We start from the raw sequence: 27168 nt of genomic DNA on the forward strand, positions 1-27168 counted from the left end.
TTTTTTAATAAATAGTAAATTCACATTGTAGAATATCTAAAAAATAAAATAATGACGACGTATTAACTTCATCCCCACTGTTGTCCCCAGTTCCTCTCTGCAGAGGCACCTGCTGTCACTTGCTCCTCGCGAATCCTGCTAGAGCTACACTATGCGTAGATACATGGCAGCGTGCTCCTCAGCCTCTTCCGTGCTGGCTTTTCCACTGAAATTATCTTGGTGATTGTTCCTCAACATTACATATACAGCTGCCTCATTATCTACAGTAGCTGGGATGCACATTTCACATGTTTATGTACATTGACTTCCACAAAGTTGCACTCACAGTATGTGACTTTCTAAAAAGGAGAGACCATGTTGGCAGTTCACACAGAAGACAAACTGAGAAGGGAGAGCAGGCACGAATTACTCATCTGTCCAGAGATGGTGAGACAGCTCAGTGTGGGAAGCTGTATAAGGGAAGTATATACAATTCTACCTGAATTGGAAGTAAACAGGGACATTGCATTTCTGGTATTCAGCTGGAGTTGAACACGCTTCACAGAACAGATGAGGCTCACAATGGCCAAGCCCCAGGGCTGAGGTCCAGGGAGGGGCAGGGTGAGTCAGCTCATCAATTCGTCAACAGAGGGAACAGCAGAGGACAGGGGCAGGCCAGCCTGGCACCTAGAGCCTTTGGATTTCTATTTTTACAGTGAGGTGGTTTAAAAAAGAGGAGGTTAAACTGAATTATTTCTAAGATTTCATCCAGCTGTAAAATCCTATTATTCTGAACTGCCAGGCTTACAAGTTCAAGAGGCAGAAGGTAAATTCCTGCAGCCTTTAAATGAACAAAACAAACAGCACAAGCTACACTGCGAAGATGAGTCTGCACTGCATGTATTTCTTTCTACACCCAGGAACCTGGCTTACCAGTATATCACCCCAGCGTTGACATACTGGTGAGTGACGACAGTGCGCTTTTTGCAAATCCTGTGCACTATGACTTTTCTCCTTCAAGAATAGATATGGCTGGTCTGAAATTCTATTTTCATATTTGGCTGTGCTCTAGTAATATCCTGCTTCACAGGACATGTAGGATTGTCCTGCAGTTCAGGGAACAGGGAGGGGACAGGGCTGGGCCACCTCTGCCTCTAGGAGCCCAGCCTCCCAATGGGCCATGTCAGTCTCTCCTGATGAACTTCGAGTAGCTCACTCACTCTCTCCTGCTGCTAATCTCTGCTTCCTCTTCTAACCATGACCCTGTTCCCTGAATGCGCAATGTTTTATCACACTGTAGTTTATGACACTTGGAAATACCTGAGGATTTAACGAAAAGGAAAACTTTCCGCCATTTTCCTTAATGTCAGTTTGTAGCTTTTTCTTCTGCTGCTGAGGTAAGTACTTCACTTTCAAACAGAAGATACAATTTGCAAAGATTCCCATCACCATCCTGTAGGAAAAAAAGTTTTTAAGGACCCTCTCTTAAGTCAATATGACAGTGAATTTAGAATTATTATACAAGCAAACTGTGGGAAAATTGGGCATTATCTTAAGAAAGATATTGCAATCATGTTATCAATAGAACATTGCAAAAATTGAATAATATCCTAGCTTGCAATATGTGTGTTGGTTTAAGAATCGTTTCTAGCTTTTATGGTTGATATTACACCACCAAAAATCCCTTTGTACAGGCTCATGATATACATCTTAATAAAAACATGACAGATTTAAGTTACAGATCAAGTGTGTGACTCCAGAACATGGAACCATTTATTTCTAAATTAGAAATTAACATTATTTGATAGTGAAACCATGGGTTTCTTTAATATATAATTCTATGCATTCAAAAAGACTCTTTATGTGGACTTCTATTAGGCCATTCTGGGGAAAAACTGAACAGCTGATAATAAAAATATACAACTATGTTTAAATGGAATATGTATGTGTGTGTATACACATATATATTCTGCATTTAGGTTCTTTTTTTTTTTTTTTTTTTTTTTGGAGACGGAATCTCACTCTGTCACCCAAGCTGGAGTGCAGTGGTGCGATCTCAGCTCACTGCAACCTCCGCCTCCCTGGTTCAAGCGATTCCCCTGCCTCAGCCTCCCGAGTAGCTGGGACTACATGCGCGCACCACCACACGTGGCTACTTTTTATATTTTTAGTAGAGACAAAGGTTTCACCATGTTGACCAGGCTGGGCTCAAACCCAGCCTCCCAAAGTGCTGTGATTACAGGTGTGAGCCACCACACCCAGCCTGGGTTAATTTAATTAATTTACTGTACAACACATTCTCAATTTTGCATCGAAATGTGTATTTAACAATAAATTAATACATGGTGAAAAATTGTGTTTAATTTCCATTTTGTAAAATTTTTTTTTTGAGACAATCTTGCTCTGTCACCCACGCTGGAGTGCACTATTGCAATTTTGGCTTACTGCAACCTCCACCTCCTGGATTCAATTGATTCTCCTGCCTCGGTCTCCCAAGTAGCTGAGATTACAGGCGCCCACCATGACACCTGGCTAACTTTTGTATTTTTAGTAGAGTCGGGGGTTTTACCATGTTGGCCAGGCTGGTCTTGAACTCCTGACCTCAAGTGATCTGCCCACCTTGGCCTCCCAAAATTGTGGGATTACAGGCATGAGCCACCGCACCTGGCACACCCCCGCTTTTTTTTTTTTTTTTTTGAGTCAGGGTCTCACTCTGTCACCCAGGCTGGAGTGCAGTAGCAGATCTCAGCTCACTGTAATCTCTGCCCACTGCAATCTCTGCCTTCCGGGAAGAGAAGGTGAGGGTTAAAGAAAGACACACACACACACACAGAGGAGAAAGAAAGAGAGAGGAGACAGAGCTAGAGAGCGCGAGCTTGACAGCAAATGCGGCTTTATGTGCAGCACAAAACCTACAGAAGTAGGGGACCAGCCTAATGCCACAGCCCACTGCTAAGTCTTACAGGCTAAGGGTACTTATAGGTATGGGCGGGAGGGGTCTGGGCAGCATGGCTTGTTGCCCTGCAAGATATCGATAAGATGTTCCCATGATTTGTATTGATTTGTACAATAAGGGTTCTGGCCCTTATTCAGGTGGATGTCATCATGGTGTTCCTTGGACGTTTGCCCAAGAAGTCATGAGAGGGAAGTTTCTTCAGATAAGCCTCTGTTGGCCTTGCGGTCAAGTGGTTAGGAAGGATGTTTCTCACCGCCTAAACCCCCCAGAAATGTTTCACTTTGCCCAAAGTCTGCAAAATAGCGGGCAGCTTACAAAATGTTGCAGTTTGTGCTAACGCTGGGTTCAAGCAATTCTCCTGCCTCAGCCTCCCGAGTAGCTGGGATTACAGGCCCGCGCCACCACGCCCGGCTAATATTTTTCATTTTTAGTAAAGACAGGGTTTCGCTATGTTGCCCAGACTGGTATTTGTCAATTTTTAAAAACAAGGAGTCACGTCTAACAGGCTCCCCGCAAAGTAAGCTGCCATTTGGCGACAGCAGTTTCCAAGTCCTGTATTAGTTTGAGGATCGCGGTTCCGGGTCCTGTGTTAGCTTGGGCAGGCAGGTCAGGTTCTCTGCCGCGGCCCACGCGTCTTGGGACTAAGCTGAGTTGCTGAAAGCCCACCGCCCTGCACCGCGATTGGGCTCCGCCATTTCCCCTTTGCCTGCCCTTTCACCTCCCACTCCTACAGGCCAGAGGCCCCACCCTACCTAGTGCTGTGTCTGGAATTTGTGGGTTCTTGGTCTCACTGACTTCAAAAACGAAGCTGCCTGGACCCTCGTGGTGAGTGCTACAGTTCTTAAAGGCGGCGCGTCCGAAGTTTGTTCCTTCCTTGGTCTCACTGACATCAAGTATGAAGCCGCAGACCCTCGCAGTGAGCGTTACAGTTCTTTAAGGCGGCGCATCCAGAGTTTGTCCGGAGTTGTTTACTCCTACCGGTGGGTTCGTGGTGTCGCTGGCTTCAGGAGTGAAGCTGCAGACCTCCGCGATTTAAAGGCAGTGCGGACCCAAACAGTGAGCAGCAACAAAATTTACTGCAAGGAGTGAAAAACAAAGCTTCCACAGCGTGGAAGAGGACCCCAGCAGGTTGCCACTGCTAGCTCGGGCAGCCTGCTTTTATTCCCTTATGTGGCCCCACCCACATCCTGCTGATTGGTTCATTTTATAGAGCGCTGATTGGACTGCTTTGACAGGGTGCTGATTGGTGTTTACAATCCCTGAGCTAGACACAAGTTCTCCAGGTCCCCACTAGATTAGCTAGACACAGAGCACTGATTGGTGCATTTACAAACCTTGAGCTAGACACAGGGTGTTGATTGGTGTGTTTACAAACCTTGAGCTAGACACAGAGTGCTGACTGGTGTATTGACAATCCCTTAGCTAGACATAAAGTTCTCCAAGTCCCCACTAGACTCAGGAGCCCAGCTGGCTTCACCCAGTGGATCCCATGCCAGGGCCGCAGGTGGAGCTGCCTGCCAGTCCCATGCCTTGCACCCGCACTCCTCAGCCCTTGGGTGGTCGATGGGACCGGGCGCCGGCCGCGCTCCTGCGGGACGCTCGTGCTGCGCAGGAGCCAACTGAGGCGGGAGAGCTCAGACATGGCGGGCTGCAGGTCCCGAGCCCTGCCCCGCGGGGAGGCAGCTAAGGCTCCACGAGAAATCTAGCACAGCGCTGGTGGGCCGGCACTGCTGGGGTACCCGGCACACCCTCCGCTGCTGCTGGCCCGGACGCTAAGCCCCTCACTGTCCGGGGCCGGCGGGGCCAGCGGGCTGCTCAGAGTGCGGGGACCGCCCAGCCCACGCCCAACCGGAACTTGCGCTGGCCCGCAAGCGCCGCGCACAGCCCCGGTTCCGTCCTGCGCCTGCAAGCTGAAGGAGCCGGCTCCGGCCTCGCCAGCTCAGAAAGGGGCTCCCACAGTGCAGCGGCGGGCTGAAGGGCTCCTCAAGCGTAGCCAGAGTGGGCGCCGAGAGCCAGCGAGGGCTGCAAGGGCTGCCAGCACGCTGTCACCTTTCAGTACCTTTGCCCTGTGTGTGTTGGATGGTGGTACCCATTCCCTGGGCTCTCAATTGAGGACACAGTGCCACTGCCTCCCTGACACCTCACCTCTGGGTCTCCTTGGCACCACAGAGGTGCGACGTCCCCAGCCTAGGCCTCCCTCTCCCCCTTGGCTGGAGACAACCACTGGGTGCTATTCTTGACTCCCTGCACCCCCATCTCCTTCTGCCAGCTGTATCTCTTCCATCACAGCCCCTGATATAGCCCCAATGTATAGAACTTGTCCCTCCTGCTGCCACCCTGGCCCATGCCCTCGCATCCTGACTGGCTCCCACTCCTGTTGCGCCTGTGTTCAATCTCTTCTCCACACTGCAGCTTCAGGAAACTTGTTGTTTTTAAATTACATTTCAAATAAAATACAAATTGCTTATCATGGTTCAAGGCCAACAGCTATCTCATTCCCTCCTGGCCACACTGGCTTTTTCTAAAGGAGGAAGAAACCCACAGCTTGGTCCTCCAAGTCTTGACACATGCTGTTATATATTATAGTTCTTATCTCTGGGACCCCCAGCCCTTCCTCACCCCATGCTGTATCCCCCATCCAGGACACAATGAATGAACACATTAGGGATTCATATTTTTTAATCTTTCTTTTGAGGTCCGGTTAAACTGAAGTCTCTTGATGTAATTCTGCCTTTCCATAACATTAGCATGGAAAAGTTTCATTTGTTGACTGCCTCTCACATTCAATTAGCATCTGTGCATAGATAGGAGGGATGAAATGAGGGGTACCATAAAAGAGATTACACCACACTATTTAGGTTAATCTATGCTAGTCGTAATCTCTGACAATTAAAAACAACACACAAAAAAAAACACTAAAAGCCTTTAATGACTCTTTAATAATTTCCAGGACAGCCTCTATGTGATAATTGCACCCCCACTTATGCTGACCAAGGTTGGCTGACATGGAGTGGCTGCTCAAGTCCACCTTCAGATGGGTCCTGGATGTGTTAAATCCTCTGACCTGTTTAAAACGTGTTTCCTGGAAAAGTGACTCATGGTCACTGTTGAAAATTTGAAAAATACAGAATTGTATAACAGAAAAAAAAAGAACAAAACAAAAAAATCTCAAAACCTAGGGCTATGTTAGCATCTTGTTTTGCATTTTTCTTCTGGGCTTTTTTCTAGGTCTATTATAACACTTTGTTTTTTGAGACAGTCTCGCTTTTGTCACTTAGGCGGAAGTGCAGTGGTGAGACCTCGGCTCACGGCACCCTCCGCCTCCCGGGTTCAAACGATTCTCCTGCATCAGCCTCCCGAGTAGCTGGGATTATAGGTGCCTGCCACCATGCCTGGCTACTTTTTGTATTTTTAGTAGAGACGGGGTTTCACCATGTTGGCCAGGCTGGTCTCGAACTCCCAACCTTAAGTGATCTGCACACCTTGGCCTCCCTAAGTGCTGGGATTACAGGCATGAGTCACCGCACCCAGCCACAGACTGTATTTTTTATCAAAATTGACATCACACTACCTATCCCGCTGTTATCAGTCAGCATCTTTAGCATTTTGTCATTAAATATTATTGGAAAACATTTTTAATAGAGACTATCAGATATGGACCATAAATGAATTATTGTTGGAAAATTAAATCATTTCTGATTTTTGGTATCATAAAAAGCTATGATGAACATCCTTATGTGCAAATCCTTGTTTCCATCTCCAACAATCATCTTAGAAAATAATACTCAACTAGAACTACTGAATCAAAGTTTGAACAATTTTTTTGTGTTAAAAGTTAATCACTAAGAAGAAAAAATAAAAAGCACCTAAAATGATGGAAATGCTCAAAACTAGACTGCAGTGATGGTGCACAACTTGGTAAATTATTAAAAATTATTGAATTAGGCCAGGCAATGTGGCTCATGCCTGTAACCCTAGCACTTTGGGAGACCAAGTGGAGCAAATCGCTTGAGCCCAGGAGTTTGAGAGCAGCCTGGCCAACATGGCGAAACTTCATCTCTACAAAAAATACAAAACTTAGCTGGGCAAGGTGGTACATGCCTATGGTCCCAGCTACTCAGGAGACTTAGGTGGGAGGATCACTTGAGCCTGGGAGGTCAAGGCTGCAGTGAGCTGTGATCATGCCACTGCACTCCAGCCTGGGTGACAAGAGACCCTATCTCAAAAAAAAAAAAAGAGAGAAAAATTACTAAATTGTACAATTAAAATGAATGAATTTAATGTATGTAAATTGTACCCCAATACATTTTTTAAATAGTATTTTTTGGATACATAATAGTTACATACATATTATGGGTCAATAAAGTTATTTTTAAAAAAGCACCTGATCCCTCCATCCAGAAATAACCCCACTGTTGATTTTTATTTGTTTGTTTTTTGAGCCAGTCTCGCTCTGTCACCCAGGCTGGAGTGCAGTGGCATGATCTCAGCTCACTGCAACCTTCTGCCTCCCAGGTTCAAGTAATTCTCGTGCCTCAGCCTCCAAGTAGCTGGGACTACAGGCACGCACCACCACGCCCAGCTAATTTTTGTATTTTTAGTAGAGACGGGGTTTCACCATGTTGGCCAGGCTGGTCTCGAATTCCTGAGCTCAAGTGATCTGCCCACCTCTGCCTCCCAAAGTGCTAGGATTACAGGCATGAGCCACCACACCTAGCCCCCACTGTTGATATTTTAATTTTTTTGGTGTTATTATTTCTTGTATCATTGTATTTTCTAAATTATTAATATTCTATATTTAATGTTATAGCCAGTTGCTCTTTACTTTTTAAATAGGACTTTCACTTTCACAGCTTATTTAGCTTTTAGTGATATCCTCCCCATGTCACTAAATATTCTTTGAAGGTGTTTTTAGTGGTTACATAAGCTTTGCGTTTATTTCATCCTTCCCCAAGTCATCAGATACTTGGTTACTTAAAAGTGTTCACTATTGGCCGGGCGCGGTGGCTCACACCTGTAATCCCAGCATTTTGGGAGGCCGAGGCGGGCGGATCACGAGGTCAGGAGATCGAGGCCATCCCGGCTAAAACGGTGAAACCCCGTCTCTACTAAAAATACAAAAAATTAGCCGGGCGTAGTGGCGGGTGCCTGTAGTCCCAGCTACTTGGGAGGCTGAGGCAGGGGAATGGCGTGAACCCGGGAGGCGGAGCTTGCAGTGAGCGGAGATCCCGCCACTGCACTCCAGCCTGGGCGACAGAGCGAGACTCCGTCTCAAAAAAAAAAAAAAAAAAGTGTTCACTATTAGAAATACACTTTAATTAAAATGCTTGTACATATATTTTTTTGCCACATCTCTGTCATAGTTTCCCTAGAGTTGATGGCCAGAAATGGAATTACTGAATCAAGGAGTATAAACATTTTTTAGCCTTTTAAAAATTGTGGTACAGTTTTTAAAACTGTGTGTACAGTTCAGTGGCATTAAGTACATACACATAGTTGTGAAATCAAAGTATAAACATTTTATTTTATTTGAGACAGGGTCTGGCTCTGTCTCCCAAGCTGGAGTGCAGTGGTGTGGTCACTGTCACAGCTCACTGCAACCTCGACCTCCCTCCCAGCAATCCTTTCACCCGGCCTACTTAGTAGCTGGGACCACAGGCCTGCACCACCATGCCCAGCTAATTTTGGTAGAGACAGGGTTCTTACTATGTTGCCAAGGCTGGTCACAAACTCCTGGGCTCAAGCCATCCTCCTGCCTCAGCCTCCCAGAGTGCTGGGGTTACAGGTGTGAGCTGCCACGCCCGGCCCAGAGTAAAAACATTTTAAACATAAATCTGCGGTCTGTTCTTAGCACCTGCGGCTGCGTGGGAGGTATGGAAAGGCGCACTTTGGGTTTCGTGAAATCTCAAGTCAGGTCTTGACTTCTCTCTTTCCACAGATTCATCTCTAGTCTCTGTAAAATGCCAGCCCTCTTCTGGGTTAACAGCGCCTAACCGACATGCGCCACTAGTTCTTCCTTGTTTCAAAGTGTTCTCTAAACACAGAGTTAGTTCATGTTTTCATCAGCGCTGATTACGTACATATGAGATGTGGCGGACACTGGGCTAGGGGCTGGTTATTCTCTAAGGCAAATCTGCACAGTCACTCCAGCCTGTCCCCCTTCCCAGCTTCTTCCCCAAATAACATTCACAGAGTGTCTTCCACCCAAAGACAGCAGGGAACAGCCCCGATTCCTAAGAAACCCTCAGCGCGCCTCCTCACAAACTCTTGGCTGCTCCATAAACCATTGGTGTAGGTGGAATCAAGTGGCTTCCTGCTTCACAGGTCTTCGTCTTTACCACTGGCATTTCCTCCTCTCGGAAAACCCTGAGGAGTCCCTTTCTGGGCAGTCTTGATTCTACAGCCTCCGCCTTCCGAAGTGTGTGAGTCAGCACACGCTAAGATCACTTTTGATATACAGTGGGCATTCAATAAAAGCTTGCTTACTAAAAACTCTCACGTATCCATTAAAGCCCAGGATTACAGAAAAGCCTTCTGACACTATTTGCATTTTGGACTCAAATGGCATCAGTAATGCACCTCCCTAATGGGTTTATTAAACCCTTAAACAACAAAGGTACTACTTTTATTTCACTCCTACATGATATACAGTAGCTCTACGCACACAAACAAGACCTAATGTTTACTTAATAAATGATAAAGTCAGATGTAATGAGTCTGCAACACGCACATCTCAGAGCGAACTTCCCCTTTATCATAGCACTATGCTTGGATATTGTCATATAATTGTTGTCATCCAGCAGTCCAGAATTGAAAGTGCTTGGGCTTGAATATTTAGCAGCGCCTTAGTTTTCTAGAACCTGTGATCTACCAACTCGATCCCTGGGTGAACCATTCGGCCCTCCTAGCAGGAATTACTTAACTGAGTTAGAGGTTTTCAACTTTGGACCTCAACAAACACATTGTTTCTATCACGGTGTTCCCAATGACTCACGAGGTCAGATAGTACTTCCTGATTACTCACCAAACCACCTTACTTTTTGCACAATTCGAAACCTAACTTTAGGAAAGAAGGCCGTTTGGCATACTGGAAACAAGAAACAACGCGTGCTACTGCGAACCGCACCGCACGGGGTGCGGAGACTTGGTGTGACTGTCGGCTCCGGTGGGCGCCCCCCACCGCACCCGGTTTCTCGTCACCAGGGCTGCGCCGCGGGGCAGAGCGGAACGACCGCAATATCCCTCCCCGAGGGCGCTGGCTGCACTAGCTAGTCCACTCCCGAGCCTAGCAGCGCCGTCAGGCCCACAGCGCCAACGCCGCGCAGGGCAAGGGTGCAGCCACTGGCGGGAAAGTAGTACGCGGGCCACTTCCTGGCTAGGACTACAGGGACCTTTGCAGCCCCCCACCCCGCAGCGCCCACGCACCTGCCTAGAGGATCCAGCTAGCTCCGGACGCTCCCCGATTCCGCGCTCCTTGCTCGCGGTACTTCCGTAATCTAGGCTCTCCCTGCCCCCGGGGCTGGGCGGGCGCCACTGCGCCGGAACCCCGCCCCGCACCAGGCGGGCGCAGCGTCCCAAGCAGGGACGATAGCCGGAACGCGCCCGGAATCGGGTCCGCCAGGTGGGGAGCGGGTCCCCGGCCTCTGGCGGGGTTTCTCTTCCAAGATCAGCCGGAGGGTTCAGGGCTTTCAGTTTCATATTTCAGGAGGGATTTTGTCAATGAGGATTAATACAAAGCTCGGCTTTGAGAGAGGTGGGTGGATGGTGCTGTCCTTTAACTGAGAAATGGAAGGGATTCACAAGGCCGGGAAAGAAGAAAATTTCGGGAAAGTTCGTGGAAACAGGAGAGTGAGATAATAAATTTACTTTAAGCCTTCCTGCGTTTGAAATTCGTGACAGTGTAACTAGTTGGAAATATATTTATCTGCCATTCAAGAGAGGCAGGGGGCTGGAGATACAGATCTGAGATTCACTGAAATGGGAATAAAGCAATGGGGAAGATTCAGATTTTTAGGATACTGAATAAAATGAGAATAGAAAGGATAGAGTAGAGAATACAGTGGAAAGGGTATGGGGTTGAATCCTGACTCCACAATTTATTACCAAGGGGGCTGGGGACAAGGTAATTTACCAAGTTTCATCATTACAACCTACTCTATAGGGTTGTCTAAGAAACAACAAGAGATTCTGGGGGAGGAGAGAGACTGATTCCTAGAGTTACCACATCGTAATGCTCAAAATGTCCAATCTTCAACAAAAAATTATGAGGCATGCAAAAAAAAAGGCGAAAAAATGGCCAATTCAAAGGAAAAAAGAAATGAACAGAAATTGTCCCTGAGCTGAGGAAGCACAGACATAGGAATTATTAGACAAATACTTCAAATAAACTGTCTTAAACATGGACAAAAAGTGAAAGGAAACATAGAAAAATAACTGAAAGAAACAACCAGGAGAACAAAGTCTCAATAAATAGAGAATATGCAATAGAAGATGTGCAAATGGTCAACAAGCATGAAAAAAAGCCCAGCATAACTAATTATCAGAAAAGTGCAAATTAAAACTGCAATGAGATACCATCTTACACCAGTCAGAATGGTTATTATTAAAAAGTCAAGGAACAACAGATGCTGGCAAGGCTTTATTGAAAAGGAAATGCTTATACACTGTCAGTGGGAATGTAAATTAGTTGAACCACTGTGGAAACCAGTTTGAAGATTTCTCAAAGTGCTGAAAACAGAACTGCTATTCAACCCAGCTATCCCATTACTGGGTACATATTCAAAACAAGAGAACTCATTCTACCAAAAAGACACATGCACTAGTATGTTCGTCACAGCACGCTTCACAATAGGAAAGACATGGAATGAACTTAGGTGCTCATCGACAATGGACTGGATAAAGAAAATGTGGTACATTTGCACCATGGAATACTACGAAGCCATAAAAAGAATGAATGGAATCATGTCCTTCACAGCAACGTGACTGCAACTGGAGGCCATTGTCGTAAGTGAATTAATGAAGGAACAGAAAACCAAATACCACATGTTCTAATTTGTAAGTGGGAGCTAAACACTGGGTACTCATGGATATAAAGATGGCAACAATAGACACTGGGGACAACTAGACAGGGAGGGAGGGGGAGGGGCAAGGGTTGAAAAACTATTGGGTACTATGCTCAGTCCCCGGGTGAGGGGCTCAGTCATACCCCAAACCTCAGCACCACGAATTATATGTAGGTAACAAGCCTGCACATGTACCCTCTGAATCTAAAATAAAAGTTGAAATTATTTAAAAAACAAATAAGGAATATTAATAAAGAGATAGAAATTATAAAAGGAACCAAACACATTTTGGAACTGAAAAGAACCAAAAAGAAATTGTGTAGTTAAAAAGTACAATAGGACCAGGCATGGTGGTTCATGCCTGTAATCCTAGTGTCTTGGGAGGCCAAGGCGGGAGGATCGCTTGAGACCAAGAGTTTGCCTTGGCAACATAGGGAGATCCCCTCTCTACAAAAAAATTACAAAATTAACCGGGCATGGTGGTGCATGCCTGTGGCCCTAGCTACTCAGGAGGCTAAGGCAGGAGGATCACTTGAGCCAAGAAGTTCATGGCTGCAGTGAGCTAAGATCACACTCCTGCACTCCAGCCTGGGTGACAGAGCAATATCTTGTCTCAAAAAAAAAAAAAAGAAGAAGAAAAGAAAAAGAAAAAAATACAATAACTTAAATGAAAAATACACAAGTGATGCTCCAGAGTAGATTTGAGCAGGTAAGAGAAGGAATGAGCAAACTCGAAGATAAAACTGTTGAAATTATTAACTCTGAGGAGCAGAAAGTAGAAGAATGAAGATCAAAGTCCAAAAGATTTGTGGACACCATCAAGTGTATCAGCATATGCATAAAGGGGGTCCCAGAAAGAAAGATGAGGGTGAAGGTGGCAGGAAGAGTATCTGAAGAAACAGTGGCTCCAAAGTCCCCAATTTGTTAAAATACATAATGTAACACTTCAGAGAAGCTCCATGAACTTCAAGTATGATAAACTCAAAAAGTCCACAATAGAGTTATATTAATAATCAAACTGTTGAAAGCCAAAGACAGAGAGAAGCTTAAAAGCAGCTAGACAGAAATGATCACTACATACAAAGGAACTTGAATAAGATTAACAGCCAATCTATTACCATGGGAGCCAGAAGGCAGTGGGATGATATAAAGTGCTGAAAGAAAACAAACAAACCGGCAACCATGAATTCTATATCTGTTAAAACTCTCCTCCAAGAAATGATAGGCCAGGCACGGTGACTCATGCCTGTAATCCTGGCACTTTGGGAGGCTGAGGCAGGTGGATTGCTTGAGCCCAGGAGTTCAAGACCAGCCTGGGCAACATGGTGAAAACCCATCTCTACAAAAAATGCAAAAATTAGCCAGGTATGGTGGCATGTGCCTGTCATCTCAGCTACCTAGGAGGCTGAGGCAGGAGGAACACTTGAGACCTGGAGGTTGAGGCTACAGTGAGTTGTAATTGTGCCACTGCCCTCCAGCCTGGGTGATAGAGTCATCCCATCTAAAAAAAATGTGTAATAAAAACCTATAGAATGCTTGAAGAACCATCCAACTACTATATAATTATTGCTATTTTTGAAGAAAGCAAAAATACAGGTGTGACAACTATTATGGTATTGTTCTGCTCTTATTACAACAAAGATTCAAGCTAGAAATCCTTTACTATCTATTCAACTTCATTCATCATTGGTCAGGCATTCTAGAATGTAGTGGATGTGATAATCCCTTTGCTGTATAGACTCATTAGGTTTCCAGGATGTTTTGTTGTAAGTCCAATGCACCAGCAATAGATTTACCTATATCAAACTGCCAAGATTTAAAAAATGTCTCTCAGCACCCAAGGTTGTTGTTAGAAACTTTCCAGAAGTAATTCTGGAAATCTGAGGTTTCAGGCCTTGGTGAAGAACTCCTTCACTCTTCCTGCAGGTGAAGGAGGATGTGGGTTTTCTTGGGTTTGCCTAGAGGCCAGACACATGCATCTCTCAGTGCATCTTCCCAACCTGTTAGAATTCCCCTTTCTGGCCTGGAAGACATGGGCTTGGGGATCATCCCTTGGCCAGGCTAGCACTTATGTTCTCTCTTTTTTCTTTTTAAGAGTTGGGGGTTTCACTCTGTCGCCCAGGCTGCAGTCTAGTGGTGTGATCATAACCTTAAACTCCTGGGCTCAAGTGATCCTCCTGCCTGAGCCTCCCAAGTAGCTAGGGCTACAGGTGCATGCCACCATGCCTGGCTAACATTCAAACTTCTGGGCGCGAATGATCCACTTCAGTGTTTCAAAGTGCTGGGATTACAGGTGTAAGCCACTGCACCTGACATGTCCTCTCTGGACAGAGTGGACACTTGCTACCATCAGACCAACAATGAAAAGTTGTGAACTCTTGGCTGGGTGTGGTGGCTCATGCTTGTAATCCCAGCACTTTGGGAGGCTGAGGCGGTGGATCACTGGAGGTCAGGAGTTTGACACCAGCCTAGCCAACATGGTAAAACCCCATCTCTACTAAAAATACAAAAATTAGCTGGGCATGGTGGTGCACATCTGTAGTCCCAGCTATTCAGGTGGCTGAGGCAGGAGAATCACTTGAACTGGGGAGGTGGTGGTTGCAGTGAGCTGAGATCATGCCAGAAGGAAAAGTCAGCCTGTATTCCATCAACCAATGATACCAAAATTTTAAGGATAATCTAAAGGGCGGGTTTTGATAACTAGGGAACAGCTCAGATCATTCGCATCACTGTCTGTGTGGGTGCTCCAGGTCTAATGTGCTGATTGCAGGGCTGCAGAGTTGACTCCTGCATGTTCTCACACGTGGAATAGGAGTTAGGCAGCTGCAGCTCTGCCGTGCCCACACTGTCTGCACAGAAGCAGCATCTAAATATACTGTTACTTAAATCTATGTGAAGGTCACTTTGGAATTTAAAAAATTTCATGATTTTGGCCGGGCATGGTGGCTCATGCCTGTAATCCTAACACTTCGGGAGGCCGAGGCGGGCAGATTGCCTGGGCTCAGGAGTTCAAGACCACCCTGGGCAACATGGTGAAACTGCATCTCTACTAAAAATACAAAAAATTACCTGGGCATGGTGGTGCATGCCTTTAATCCCAGCTACTCGGGAGGCTGAGGCATGAGAATAGCTTGAACCCGAGAGGTGGAGGTTGCAGTGAGCTGAGATTGCACCACTGCACTCCAGCCTCGGCGACAGCAAGACTCTGTCTTAAAAAGATAAATAAATGAATAAATAAAGAAATAAATAAATATTTCATGATTTTGTTAAACATCACTTCCTAATAAAGGGAAAAAATACTTTTGTCACTGTGGAGAAGCCTTTGTGGGGTGGAGTCACTACTGGGGATAAAAGAGAAAATGTTGAAGGAAGTCATCAGCTTTGTTGCTTTTCTTAATTGCAAGGTTTGAGTTTCCTGCCTGATGATCAGAGCCAGAAGCACAGGTCTCCAGGAAATGCCACCACTGGATAGAGAGCCACACGCTGCTTCCTATCATACGTCTACCTGGACCTAACTCAGGAAGAAACATACACTTCCTACATTTTATCCCATAAGCAAAGCAACTTCTGTAGAACTGCCCATGGAGATTTTGTCTTAACTTCAAAAAGTGCTTCTCCTAATTTATTTTCTGTTGCACGGTATCAAGAAGCACCTGTGGAAAAAAAGGATTCAAAAGAAGAAAACCATAACCATCTTACAAGTGAGTTAATTGTGTTCCTCTCTTCTGTACTTAACTCACAGTGTTACTAAGTTGTCCTAAGATAAGAGAAGGCCTTTCTGTGTTTTTTGTTTAAAATTCTTTTTTCAGAGATGGAGTCTTGCTGTGTTGCTCAGGCTGGACTCAAACTCCTGGGCATAAGCAGTCCTCCCCCTTCAGCCTCCCAAGTAGCTGGACTATAGGCATGTGCTTCCCTGCCAGCTCTTGCTCTCATGCTCTCTCTCTGTGTGTGTGTGTGTGTGTGTGTGTGTGTGTGTGTGTGTTTGTCCCCTGTGGCTTTGTTTTTTTTTTTTTTTGGAGACAGAGTTTTGCTCTTTGGCCCAGCCTGGAGTGTAGACGCATGATTTCAGATCACTGCAACCTCTGCCTCCAGGGTTCAGGTGATTTCTTGTGTCTCAGCCTCCCAAGTAGCTGGGATTACAGGTGTGCGCCATTATGCCCAGATAATTTTTTGTATTTTTAGTAGAGATGGGGTTTTATCATGTTGGCCAGGCTGGTCTCGAACTCCTGGCCTCAAGTGATCTGCCACCTTGGCCTCCCAAAGTGCTGGGATTACAGATCTGAGCTACTGCACCCAGCCATAATTTGTCATTGATCACTTTTCAAAAACACGTTTTATCATGCTATTTTCTGTAACTGAACTCAACATGTTTCTACGTTGGTCACTTTTTAGAGACCCATTTTCTTTTTTCTTACTTTTCTATTACACTTTACGTTCTAGGGTACATGTGCACAACGTGCAGGTTTGATACATAGGTATACATGTGCCATGTTTGTTTGCTGCGCCCATCAACTCATTATTTGTTGGGGTGATCAGGCCCAATCCCAGACTGTGGGGGCTACGAAGTCCAGCGGAGTCAAATGAATAAGACAAGATAAGTTAACGGTGCATAAAGTGGGTCCAGGGGGCTGACACTAGTATGGAGGCTGTGAAGGCCCCGAGCTCTGGGAGCCCACACTATTTATTGGTGATCAAACAAAGAAGCAGGCGGTGAGGACATGGGGGTCGAAAGAAAGTGATGCATCAAGTGTTTGATCTATAGCTGTGTCAGTTTAGCATTTTCTTTGAAGCATATGGAACGAGTTCAGTTACAGAAAATAGCACATCATCTAATTTTTTAGCAAAAAGCTAGCATTTACTTTTTAGGGCAAGGTATTTGCATTTTCTGTGTGGGCCTAATATGCTCAAAACTGAGTTTTTTGATATTTGACAGGACGTGTTTTTTTAAACTGCTCTTAGTTAATACATTACTAAATTCAGTGAAAGAAAACAGCACATGTATTATTTGTGTGCTATATCTTGCTTTTAGCATTTAGGGATGTATATGCATATCTTCCTGAAAGTACAAAGTGGGCTCAGAAATGCTTTTTTTAAAGTTGTCTGAAACATTGTTTAAAAAAAGGATCAATATCTAAACATGTTCTGTTCAGTGAAAGAAAGCAGCACATCATCTAGATTTTTGGCACACAGCTTTCATTTACTTTTCAGAGCTAGATATTTGCATTTTCTGTGTGGGCCTACTATGCTCAGAATTGTGTTGTTTGAGATTTGACAAGTTGTGTATTTGAAAACTGCTATTAGTTAATACACGTTGAATTTAGTGAAAAAAAAAAAAACAGTGTATTAGACATTATTTGTGTGCCATATCTTGCTTTTAGCATTTAGGACTGTATTTTCATATCTTCCTGAAAGTTCTAACTAGGCTTTTATTAGTTTTTTTCTGAGTGTGTACAAACGTGTTTTTAAAAATGAATCAATGTCAAAACATGTTGAATTTGGAGAAAAAAACAGCACATCAGGTAGGTTTTTGGTACATAGCTTGCATTTACCTTTTAGGGCCTACTATGCTCAGAATTGTTTTTTCTGAGATTTGACAAGCTGCGTCTTTGAGAACTGCTATACCATGTAGAATTAAGTGAAGGAAACCAGAACATCATCTAGGTTTTTGGCACACCGCTTGTGTTTACCCTTTATGATTAGATATTTGCATTTTCTTTGTTGGCCTACTAAGCTTGAGGTTGTGTTTTCTGAGCTCTGTTTTCTAGATGTGTTTTTGATAATTGTGTTTTCTGAGATGTGTTTTTGAAAACTGCTCTCAGTTAACACATGTTGAATTCAGCAAAAGAAAACTGCACATAACTTATATTTTGGGTGCCATGTCTTGCTTTTAGCATTTGTAGCTGTACATGCATATCTTCCCAGAAGCGCTAACTGGGCTCTGAAATGGTATTTGAGCTTGTACAAAATGTGTTTTTGAAAAGTGATCATGTAAAAGCATCTTAAATTTATTGACAGAAAGCAGCACATCATTTAGGTTTATGGCACAAAGCTGGTGTTTACCTTTTAGAGCTAGATATTCGCATTTTCAATGTGGGCCTACTATGCTCAGAATTAGGTTTTCTGAGATTTGACAAGATGATCTTTGAAAAATGTTCTTAGTTAATACATGTTGAATTCAGTGAACAAAATAGCAGATCATACATATTTTGTGTGCCATATCTTGCTGTTAGCATTTAGGACTGTGTATGCATACATTCCTGGAAGTGCTAACTGTGCTTGGAAATGTTGCTTTTGGAGCTTGTAGAAAACGTGTGTTTAAAAAGTGTTCAATGTCAAGACATGTGGAACTCCGTGAAAAAAACAGCATATAATATATAGGTTTTTGGCAGAAAGCTTGTGTTTACCTCTGACGGCTAGATATTCACATTTTTTGTGTAAGACTACTGTGCTCAGAATTGTTTTCTGACTTGAAAACATGTGTTTCTGAAAACTGCTCTTAGTTAATAAACATTGAATTCAGTGAAACAAAACAGCACATCATCTAGGTTTTTGGCACAAATTAGTGATCACTTTCAGGGCTAGATATTTGCATTCTCCTTTTGGGTTTACTATGCACAGAATTGTGGTTTTTGAGATTTTACAAGATGTGTCTTTGAAAAGTGCTTTTAGTTAATACATGTTGAATTAGTGAAGCAAAACAGCACATCATACATTATTTGTGTGCCATATCTTGCTTTTAGCATTTATGGCTGTATGTGCATATCTTTCTGGAAGCACTAACTTGGCTTCCAAACTTTATTTTCTGAGCCTGTACAAAACGAGTTTTTGAAAAGTGATTAATGTCAAAACATATTAAATTAAGTGAGAAAAACAGCACATCATCTAGGTTTTTGGCACAAAGCTTGCGTCCACCTTTCTGGGCTAGACGTTTGCATTTTCTGTTTGTGCCACCTAAGTTAAAAATTGTGTTTTCTGAGATCTCACAAGATGTGTCTTTGAATACTGTTCTTAGTTAATACATGTTAAATTTAGTGAAAGAAAACAGCACATCATACAATATTTGTTCGCCACGTATTGCTTTTAACATTTAGGGCTATATATGCATATCTTTCTAGAAGCACTACTTGGGCTTCAAAATGTTATTTTTTGAGTTTGTACAAACAAGTTTTGGAAAGCGATCAATGTCAAAACATGATAAATTCAGTGAAAGAAAACAACATAACATTTTGGTTTTTGGGAAAAAGCTTGCATTTACCTTTCAGGGATAGAAATTCTCATTTTTTCTGAGGGCATTTTGTGCTAAAAATTGTGTTTTAAAAAATATTTGACAATATGTGCCCGTGAAAACAGCCCTTAGTTAATATATGTTGAATTTGGTGTAAGAAATACAGCATATCAAATATTATTTGTGTGCTATATCTTGCTTTTAGCATTTAGGGTTGTATATGCATGTCTTCCTAGATGTGATATATCCAGGTCTAAAAACTGAAAGCAACCTTTGTGTGCCAAAGAAAAAAAACAAAAACAACAACAACAACTGTATAATGTGCTGCTTTGTTTCACCGAATTCAACATGTTTTGCCTGAGAACAGTTTTTTAAAATTTGTTTTGTACAAACTCAGATCAAACATTTCTGAGCCCTGTAGGCCTTCATAGGAAGATATGAATTTCCAATCCCAACTGCTAAAAGCAAATTTTGGGCTAAAATACTTTATGACGTGCTGTTTTCTCTAATAGAATTCCACACATTTTTAATTAGAAATGTTTTCAAACACTTGTTTCATAGAAACTAAAAAATGACACTCTTGAGCCCAGTGAGATCCCTTATGAAGATAAGAAGATTCGGCCTTAAAAATGGAAAACAAGATTTTTTCCAAAGAACTTGATGATGTTTTGGGTTTGTTTTTGTTTTTCACTGAATTCAGCATCTTTTTACCTGGAACAGTTTTCAAATACACATTATGTAGAAGCTCAGAAAAGACATGTCTGAGCCCAGTGGGCACTCAGGAAAATACAGATATCCAGCCCTAAAGCTAAAAGCAAGCTTTGTGCCAAAAATCCTTTATGATATGCTGTTTTCTTTCACTGAATTCAACCTGTTTTGATGTAGAGCAGTTTTCAAAGACTTGTCTTGTCGAATCTCAGTCAACACAATTCTGAGTACAATGGACCCTCACAGAAAATGTGAATATCCAGTCCTAAAAGTTAAAAGCAAGATTTGTGCCTAAATTCATTAGGATGGGCTGTTTTCTTTGAGGAAATTCATCATGTTTTCACATGGAATCATTTTCAAACACAGGTTTTGTAGGCCTTCAGAACAGACATTTATGAACCCAGTGGGCACTCATAGCAGAATATGAATACCCAGCCCTAATAGCTAAAAGCAACCTTTGTGCCAAAAAACTTGATGATGTGCTGGCTGGGCGCGGTGGCTCACCCCTGTAATCCCAGCACTTTGGGAGGCCGAGGCAGGCGGATCACGAGGCCAGGAGATTGAGACCATCCTAGCTAACACGGTGAAACCCTGTCTCTACTAAAAATACAAAAAATTAGCCGGGCGTGGTGGCGGGCGCCTGTAGTCCCAGCTACTCGGGAGGCTGAGGCAGGAGAACGGTGTGAACCCGAGAGTCGGAGCTTGCAGCGAGCCAAGATCGTGCCACTGCACTCCAGCCTGGGGGATAGAGCGAGACTCTCTCTCAAAAAAAAAAAAGAAAAAGAAAAAGAAAACTGTATTAAGTGTAAACATATTATCTTTTTGTCAAAGAATACAGCCCATCATAAATATTCTGACACAAATTTTCTTTTAGCTTTTACAGCTGGATATTCGCATTTTCTTTGAGGGCCTAGTATGTGCAGAATTGTGTAGTCAGAGATTCAGCACAATTTGAAAAGTGATCAATGTCAAAGCATGTTGAATTCATCAAAAAAGATAGTACATCATACAGTATTTGTGTGCCATATCTTGCTTTTAGCATTTAGGGCTGGATTTGCATAACTGCATAAAAAAACTAACTGGGCTCAGAAATGTTTCTTCTGAGCTTGGAAAAAACACGTTTTTGAAAGCTCTTCAAATAAAAGCCTGTTGAATTCAGTGAAAGAAAGCAGCACATTATACCGTATATGTGTGCCACATCTTTTAGCATTCAGAGCTGGTTATGTCTACCTGCCCTTAAAGGCTAACTTGGCTCAGAAATGTTTGCTCTGAGCTTGTACAAAACATAGTTTATAAAAATGTTCGAGAGCAAAACGTGGAATTCAGAAAAAAACCCCTGCATATCATGTAATATTTTGGCACAAAGCTTGCTTTTTTTTTAATACTAGAGCTGGTTATTCGTATCTTTCTATAAGGGCTACATGGGCTGAAGTGTGTGTTTTTTAGCTTCTATATAATGTAGGTTTGACAACTGTTCCAAATAAGAATTTATTTAATTTAGTGAAAGAAAACAGCACAACATAATTAATTTAGGCAGAAGTTTGCTATTGGCTTTTAGGGCTGGATATTCTAATTGTCTGCGAGAACCTAGTATGCTCAGAATTCTGTTGTCTGATATTTGAAAAGATATGTCTTTGAAAACTGCTCTTAATCAAAACATGTTGAATTCAGAGAAAGAAAATAGCACATTATCTAGGTCTTTGGCACAAAGCTTGCGTTTACCTTTTAGGACTAGATATTCGCATTTTCTTTGTGGGCCTACTATGCTCAGAATTATGTTTTCTGAGATTTGACAAGATGTGTCTTTGAAAACTGCTCCTACTTAATACTTGAATTCAGTGAAAGAAAACAGCACATCATTCATTATTTGTGTGCCCTATCTTGCTTTTAGCATTTAGGGCTGCATATGCATATTTTCCTGGAATCAATAACTTGGCTCCAAACTGTTTTCTTTCTGAGCTTGTACAGAATGTGTTTTTGAAAGTGATCAGTGTCAAAACACGTTGAATTCAGTGAAAGAGAACAGCCCATTATCTAGGTTTTTGGCACAAATCTTGCATTTACTTCTTAGGGCTACTCACATGTTCTGTATAGCTTTACTATGCTCAGAATTGTGTTTCCTAAGATTTGACATGATGTGTCTTTGAAAACTGCTCTTATACATGTTAATATAAGTGAAAGAAAACAGCACATCAAACGTTATTTGTGTGCCATATCTTCTGCCAGCATTTAGGGCTGCATATACATATCCTCCTGAAAATGCTAAATGGGCTTTGGAATAAATTTTTTCTTAGCTAGTAATAAACATATATTTAAAAGTGATCAATGTCAGAACATCTTGAATTCAGTGAAAGAAACCTGCTTATTATAGACAATTTTGTCTCAAAGCTTGGGCTGAATATTTGTATCTTTCTATAAGAGCTCACTGGGCTCATACTTGTTTTTTTATCTTCTAGAAAACGTGGGTTTGATAACTGTTCTAAGTTGCAATGTGTTTAATTCAGTGAACGAAAATAGCATATCATAAAAATTTTTGGCACAAACCTTGTTATACCTTTTAGGGATGGATATTCATATGCTTCTATCATTCTCTGCTATTCTCAAAATGTGTCTTCTGAGCATCAACAAAACTTGTGTTTGAAAACTGTTCTAAGTAAAAAAAATGGTTAATTTAGTCAAAGAACACAGCCCATCATAAAATATTTTTGCAGAAACCTAGTTATTAGGTTTTAGGTCTGATATTTGCATTTTCTGTGAGGGCCCACTATGCTCAGAAAATATATATATATATATAAATAAAATTTTTTTGAGATGGAGTCTCACTTTGTCACCCAGGTTGGGGTGCAGTGGTGTGATCTTGGCTCACTGTAAGCTCCGCCTCCCGGGTTCATGCCATTCTCCTCCTTCAGCCTCCCAAGTAGCTGGGACTACAGGTGCCCACCACCACGCCTGGCTAATTTTTTGTATTTTTTCGTAGAGATGGGGTTTCACCATGTTAGCCAGGATGGTCTTGATCTCCTGACCTCATGATCTGCCCACCTCGGCCTCCCAAAGTGCTGGGATTATAGGAGTGAGCCACTGTGCCTGGCCGAATATTTTTTTTTTGAAATTTGACAAGATGTGTCTTTGAAAACTGCTCTACATCAAATCAGGTAGAATTGAGTGAAAAAAAATGACAAATCATCTAGGTTTTTAAAACATAGCCTGCTTTTAGAATTTAGGGTTAAATATTTGTATTTTTTGTGATGTCCTACTATGTTTAGAATTGTGTCATCTGAGATTTGACTAGATGTGTCTTGGAAAACTGCTCTTTGTTAATACATGTTGAATTCAATGAAAGAAAACAGCACATCATATATTATTTGTGTGCCATATATTGCTTCTAGCAATTAGGGTTGTATAATGCATACCTTCCAAAAAGCACTAACTGGCCTACACAATGTTTTTTTCTGACCTTGTACAAAATGTGTTTCTGAAAAGTGATCAATATCAAAACATGTTTCCTTCAGTGAAAGAAAACAGCACATCATCTAGGTTTTGGGGACAAACCTTGTGTTTAACTGTCAGGGTAGATACTTGCATTTTCTGTGGAAGTCTACTTTGCTAAGAATTGTGTTTTCCAAGATTTGACAAGATATGTCTCTGAAACCTGGTCTTAGTTAATACATGTTGAATTTAGTGAACGAAAACAGTACATGATACATAATTTGTATGCCATATCTTGCTTTTAGCATTTAGGGCCGTATATGCATATCTTCCTGGATGCACTAACTTGGCTTTGAAGAGTTATTTTCTGAGCTTGTACAAAACGTGTTTTTCAAAAGTGATCAATGTCAAAACATGTTGAATTCAGTTACAGAAAACAGCACATCATCTAGGTTATTGACACAAAGCTAGCATTTACCATTTAGGGCTAGATATTTACATTTTCTCTGTGGGCTTACTATGCTCAGAATTATGTTTTCTGAAATTTGACAAGATGTGTCATTAAAAACTGCTGATAGTTAATACATGTTGAATTCAGTGAAAGGAAGCAGCATATCATGCATTATTTGCATGTCATATTTTGCTCTTAGCATTTAGAGATGTATATGCATTTCTTACTGGATGTGCTAATTAGGCTTCAAAATGTTATTTTCTGAGGTTGTACAAAATATGTGTTTAAAAAGTGATCAATGTCAAAACATGTTGAATTCAGTTAAAGAAAACAGCACATAGCTTTATGGCACTAAGCTTATGTTTATCTTTGACAGCTAGATATTGACATTTTCTGTGTAAGCCTACTGCGCTCAGAATTGTGTTTTCTGAGATTTGACAATATGTGTCTTTGGAAACTGTTCTTAGTTAATACGTGTTGAATTCAGTGAAAGAAACCAGCACATCATACATTATTTGTGTGCCATATCTTTCTTTTAGCATTTAGGGCTTTTATGCCTATCTTCCAGAAAGCACTAACTGGGCACAGAAACATTTTTTTCTGAGCTTGTACAAAGTGTGTTTTTGAAAAGTGATCAATGTCAAAACATGTCAAATTAAATGAACAAAAACAGCACATCATCTAGGTTTTTGGAACAAAGCTTGTGTTTACCTTTTAGAGCTAGATATTCGCATTTTTTCTGTGGGCCTACTAAGTTCAAAATTGGGTTTTATGAGATTTGACAAGATATGTCTTTAAAACTGCTCCTAGTTAATACACGTTGAGTTCAGTAAAAGAAAACTGCACATCATACATTATTTCTGTTGCTATCTTGCTGTTAGCATTTAGTGCTGTATATGCGTATCTTCCTGGAGATGCTAAGTGGGCTCTGAAATGCTTTGTTCTGACCTTGTATGAATGGGTTTTTGAAAAGTGATCAATGTCAACACATGTTGAATTTAATGAAAGAGAACAGCAAATAACCTAGGTTTTTGGAACACAGCTTGCATTTACATTTTAGAGCTAGATACTCGCATTTTTTGTGTGAGGCTATTATGCTCTGAATTGTGTTTTTTGAGTTTTGACAAGATGTGTCTTTGAAAACTGCTATTAGTTAATACATGATGAATTCAGTGAAAAAACAACAGCAGATCATACATTGTTTTTGTGCCATGTCTTACTTTCAGCATTTAGGGCTGTATATGCCTATTTTCCTGGAAGTGCTAACTGGGCTCCAAGATGTTTCTTTCTGATCTTGTACAAACGTGTTTTTGAAAAGTGGTCAATGTCAAAACATGTTGAATTCAGTGAAATAAAACAGCACATTGTCTAAATTTTTGGCACGAAGCTTGAATTTACATTTCAGGGCTAGATATTCCCGTTTTCTGTGTGGTCCTACTTTGCTCAGAATTGTGTTTCTTGAGATTTGTCAAGATGTGTCCCTGAAAAGTGACCTTAGTTAATGTATGTTGAATTCAGTGAAATAAACAGCACATCGTATATTATTTGTGTGCCATGTCTTGCTTTTAGCATTTAGGGCTGTATACGCATATATTTCTGGAAGCGCTAACTAGGCTTTGAAATATTTTTTTCTGAGCTTTTACAAAACGTGTGTTTGAAAAGTGATCATTGTCAAAACATGTTTATTTTATTGAAAGAAAATAGCACATAATATAGATTTTTGGCACAAAGCTTGCGTTTAACTTTCAGGGTAGATAATCGCTTTTTCTGTGTGGGCCTACTGTGCTCAGAATTGTGTTTTTTGAGATTTGACGAGATGTGTCTTGGGAACTTCTCTTAGTTAATACATGTTGAATTCAGTGAAAGAAAACAGCATATCATACATTATTTGTGTGCCATATCTTGCTTTTAGCATTTAGGGCTATATATGCATATTTTCCTGGAAGCACTAACTTGGTTCTGAAAAGTTTTTTTCTGAACTCGTACAAAACGTTTTTTAGCTGGAGAAGTAGGTGAAACAGCCATTGGAAAAAAATTTTTTTTTTTTGAGACGGAGTCTCGCTCTGTCGCCCAGGCTGGAGTGCAGTGGCACGATCTCGGCTCACTGCAAGCTCCGCCTCCCGGGTTCACGCCATTCTCCTGCCTCAGCCTCCCAAGTAGCTGGGACTACAGGCGCCCGCCACTACGCCCGGCTAATTTTTTGTATTTTTAGTAGAGACGGGGTTTCACCGTTTTAGCCGGGATGGTCTCGATCTCCTGACCTCGTGATCCGCCCGCCTCGGCCTCCCAAAGTGCTGGGATTACAGGTGTAAGCCACCGTGCCCGGCCGGAAAAATTTTAACAGTGAGAAAATGATGACAGTTAATGAGATTTAATCTACCCAATTATCATGTTGCCTTTAACCTCCAACTGCCTTTACTCAATCCTGGGCTTGTGTCGAGCTAACTTGGGGAGACATTTAGTTTATAGTTTAAATAAACTAAACTTTTCCCCCAAATTAACTGCCTTTGTAAATCTAACGAGAGGCTGTCAGGTTGTGAGCATGAGAGAAGTCTGAATTCTGCTAAGGTGTGGACATAAACAGTTACCAGCCATTATTCCAAAGATCACAAGATTTGCAGCTTCTAATTACTCCTGCAGATAACATCACTGTTGTAGAACCTAAGACTGGTTTTTTAATATATCTTTTCAGGTTTTTGCATTGCTGAAGACTGACGACTTCACCCAGACCCACCAACTGGTCCTGGGACCCCCACCCAGGAACCCATTCAGTGCAGGAGGACAGCTTCAGCTCCCTGTGTCTTCACGTGTGACCCAATTGATCAGCACTTCCCTCTTCCTGGCCCCCTACTGACCAAACTATCCTTTAAAAACCCTAGTCACTGAGTTTCCAGGGAGACTAATTTGACTAATAATAAAACTGGTCTCCCATTCAGCCAGCTCTGCATGAATTAAACTTTCTCTATTGCATTCCCCTGTCTTAACAAATCAGCTGTACCTGGGCACTGGGCAAAATGAACCCATTGGATGGCTACATATGTCCAGGTTAATCCCGTCATCACTGGGGGACTTGTGTAGGGGATTTTGGCTCTGGAAAGGATGGATTAGAGATCTGTGTTCTCCAGACTGAAGTGTGCAGATTATTGCCAAGAAAAACCTCTGAGAAGCACAAGCTCAGGCCTTGGGGACTTCACGCATGTTGGTTGCCTGCTGAATAGGAGGCTCCTGTGTCCACCCTCACAGCTTGGTCCTCACTTATATGAGCCCAACTGGGAATGCTCTCTGTGATTCAGGTCCACTTACTTCTAGAATGCTCAGGTAGGAAGTAATCATTAGAAGCAGATGAAGTATGTTACCCCAG

At 42.3% G+C, this 27168-nt stretch overlaps 1 protein-coding gene and 1 long non-coding RNA gene across 4 annotated transcripts in view, besides 2 other annotated features; one reads left to right on the top strand and one right to left on the bottom strand.

Moving 5' to 3' along the window:
* PARP4 (poly(ADP-ribose) polymerase family member 4) overlaps nt 1-10433 on the bottom strand; it is a 91848-nt gene extending 81415 nt beyond the window's left edge. The window contains exons 1-2 of the mRNA NM_006437.4: nt 10361-10433; nt 1300-1432 (exon numbers count right to left, since the gene is read on the bottom strand). Of these exons, the coding sequence (NP_006428.2) occupies nt 1300-1431 (132 nt within the window). The 5' untranslated portion in view covers nt 1432; nt 10361-10433. The remainder of the gene's footprint in view (nt 1-1299; nt 1433-10360) is intronic.
* LOC105370117 (uncharacterized) lies at nt 810-26742 on the top strand. Of its 3 annotated transcripts, none has more exons than XR_941756.2 (3): nt 810-941; nt 15402-15698; nt 26500-26742. It is a non-coding gene; the product is annotated as an uncharacterized LOC105370117 (long non-coding RNA). The 3 variants fall into 3 exon arrangements; XR_941755.2 differs by lacking the exon at nt 810-941 and adding an exon at nt 10178-10556; XR_941758.2 differs by lacking the exon at nt 810-941 and adding an exon at nt 13743-13923.
* Nucleotides 1066-1360: a silencer, noted in NCBI's record as "tiled region #4719; HepG2 Repressive non-DNase unmatched - State 14:Gen5', and K562 Repressive DNase matched - State 5:Enh". NCBI's record gives its function as "represses a minimal TATA promoter and a strong SV40 promoter by Sharpr-MPRA in HepG2 and K562 cells {active_cell/tissue: HepG2 | K562}" and the evidence as "EXISTENCE:reporter gene assay evidence [ECO:0000049][PMID:27701403]".
* Nucleotides 10431-10590: a silencer, noted in NCBI's record as "silent region_5178". NCBI's record gives its function as "represses an Ori minimal core promoter by ATAC-STARR-seq in GM12878 lymphoblastoid cells {active_cell/tissue: GM12878}" and the evidence as "EXISTENCE:reporter gene assay evidence [ECO:0000049][PMID:35858748]".
* Nucleotides 26743-27168: the final 426 nt, after the last annotated feature.

The sequence above is a fragment of the Homo sapiens genome, chromosome 13 (assembly GCF_000001405.40).
Source record: "Homo sapiens chromosome 13, GRCh38.p14 Primary Assembly".
Classification (NCBI taxonomy): Eukaryota; Metazoa; Chordata; class Mammalia; order Primates; family Hominidae; genus Homo; species Homo sapiens.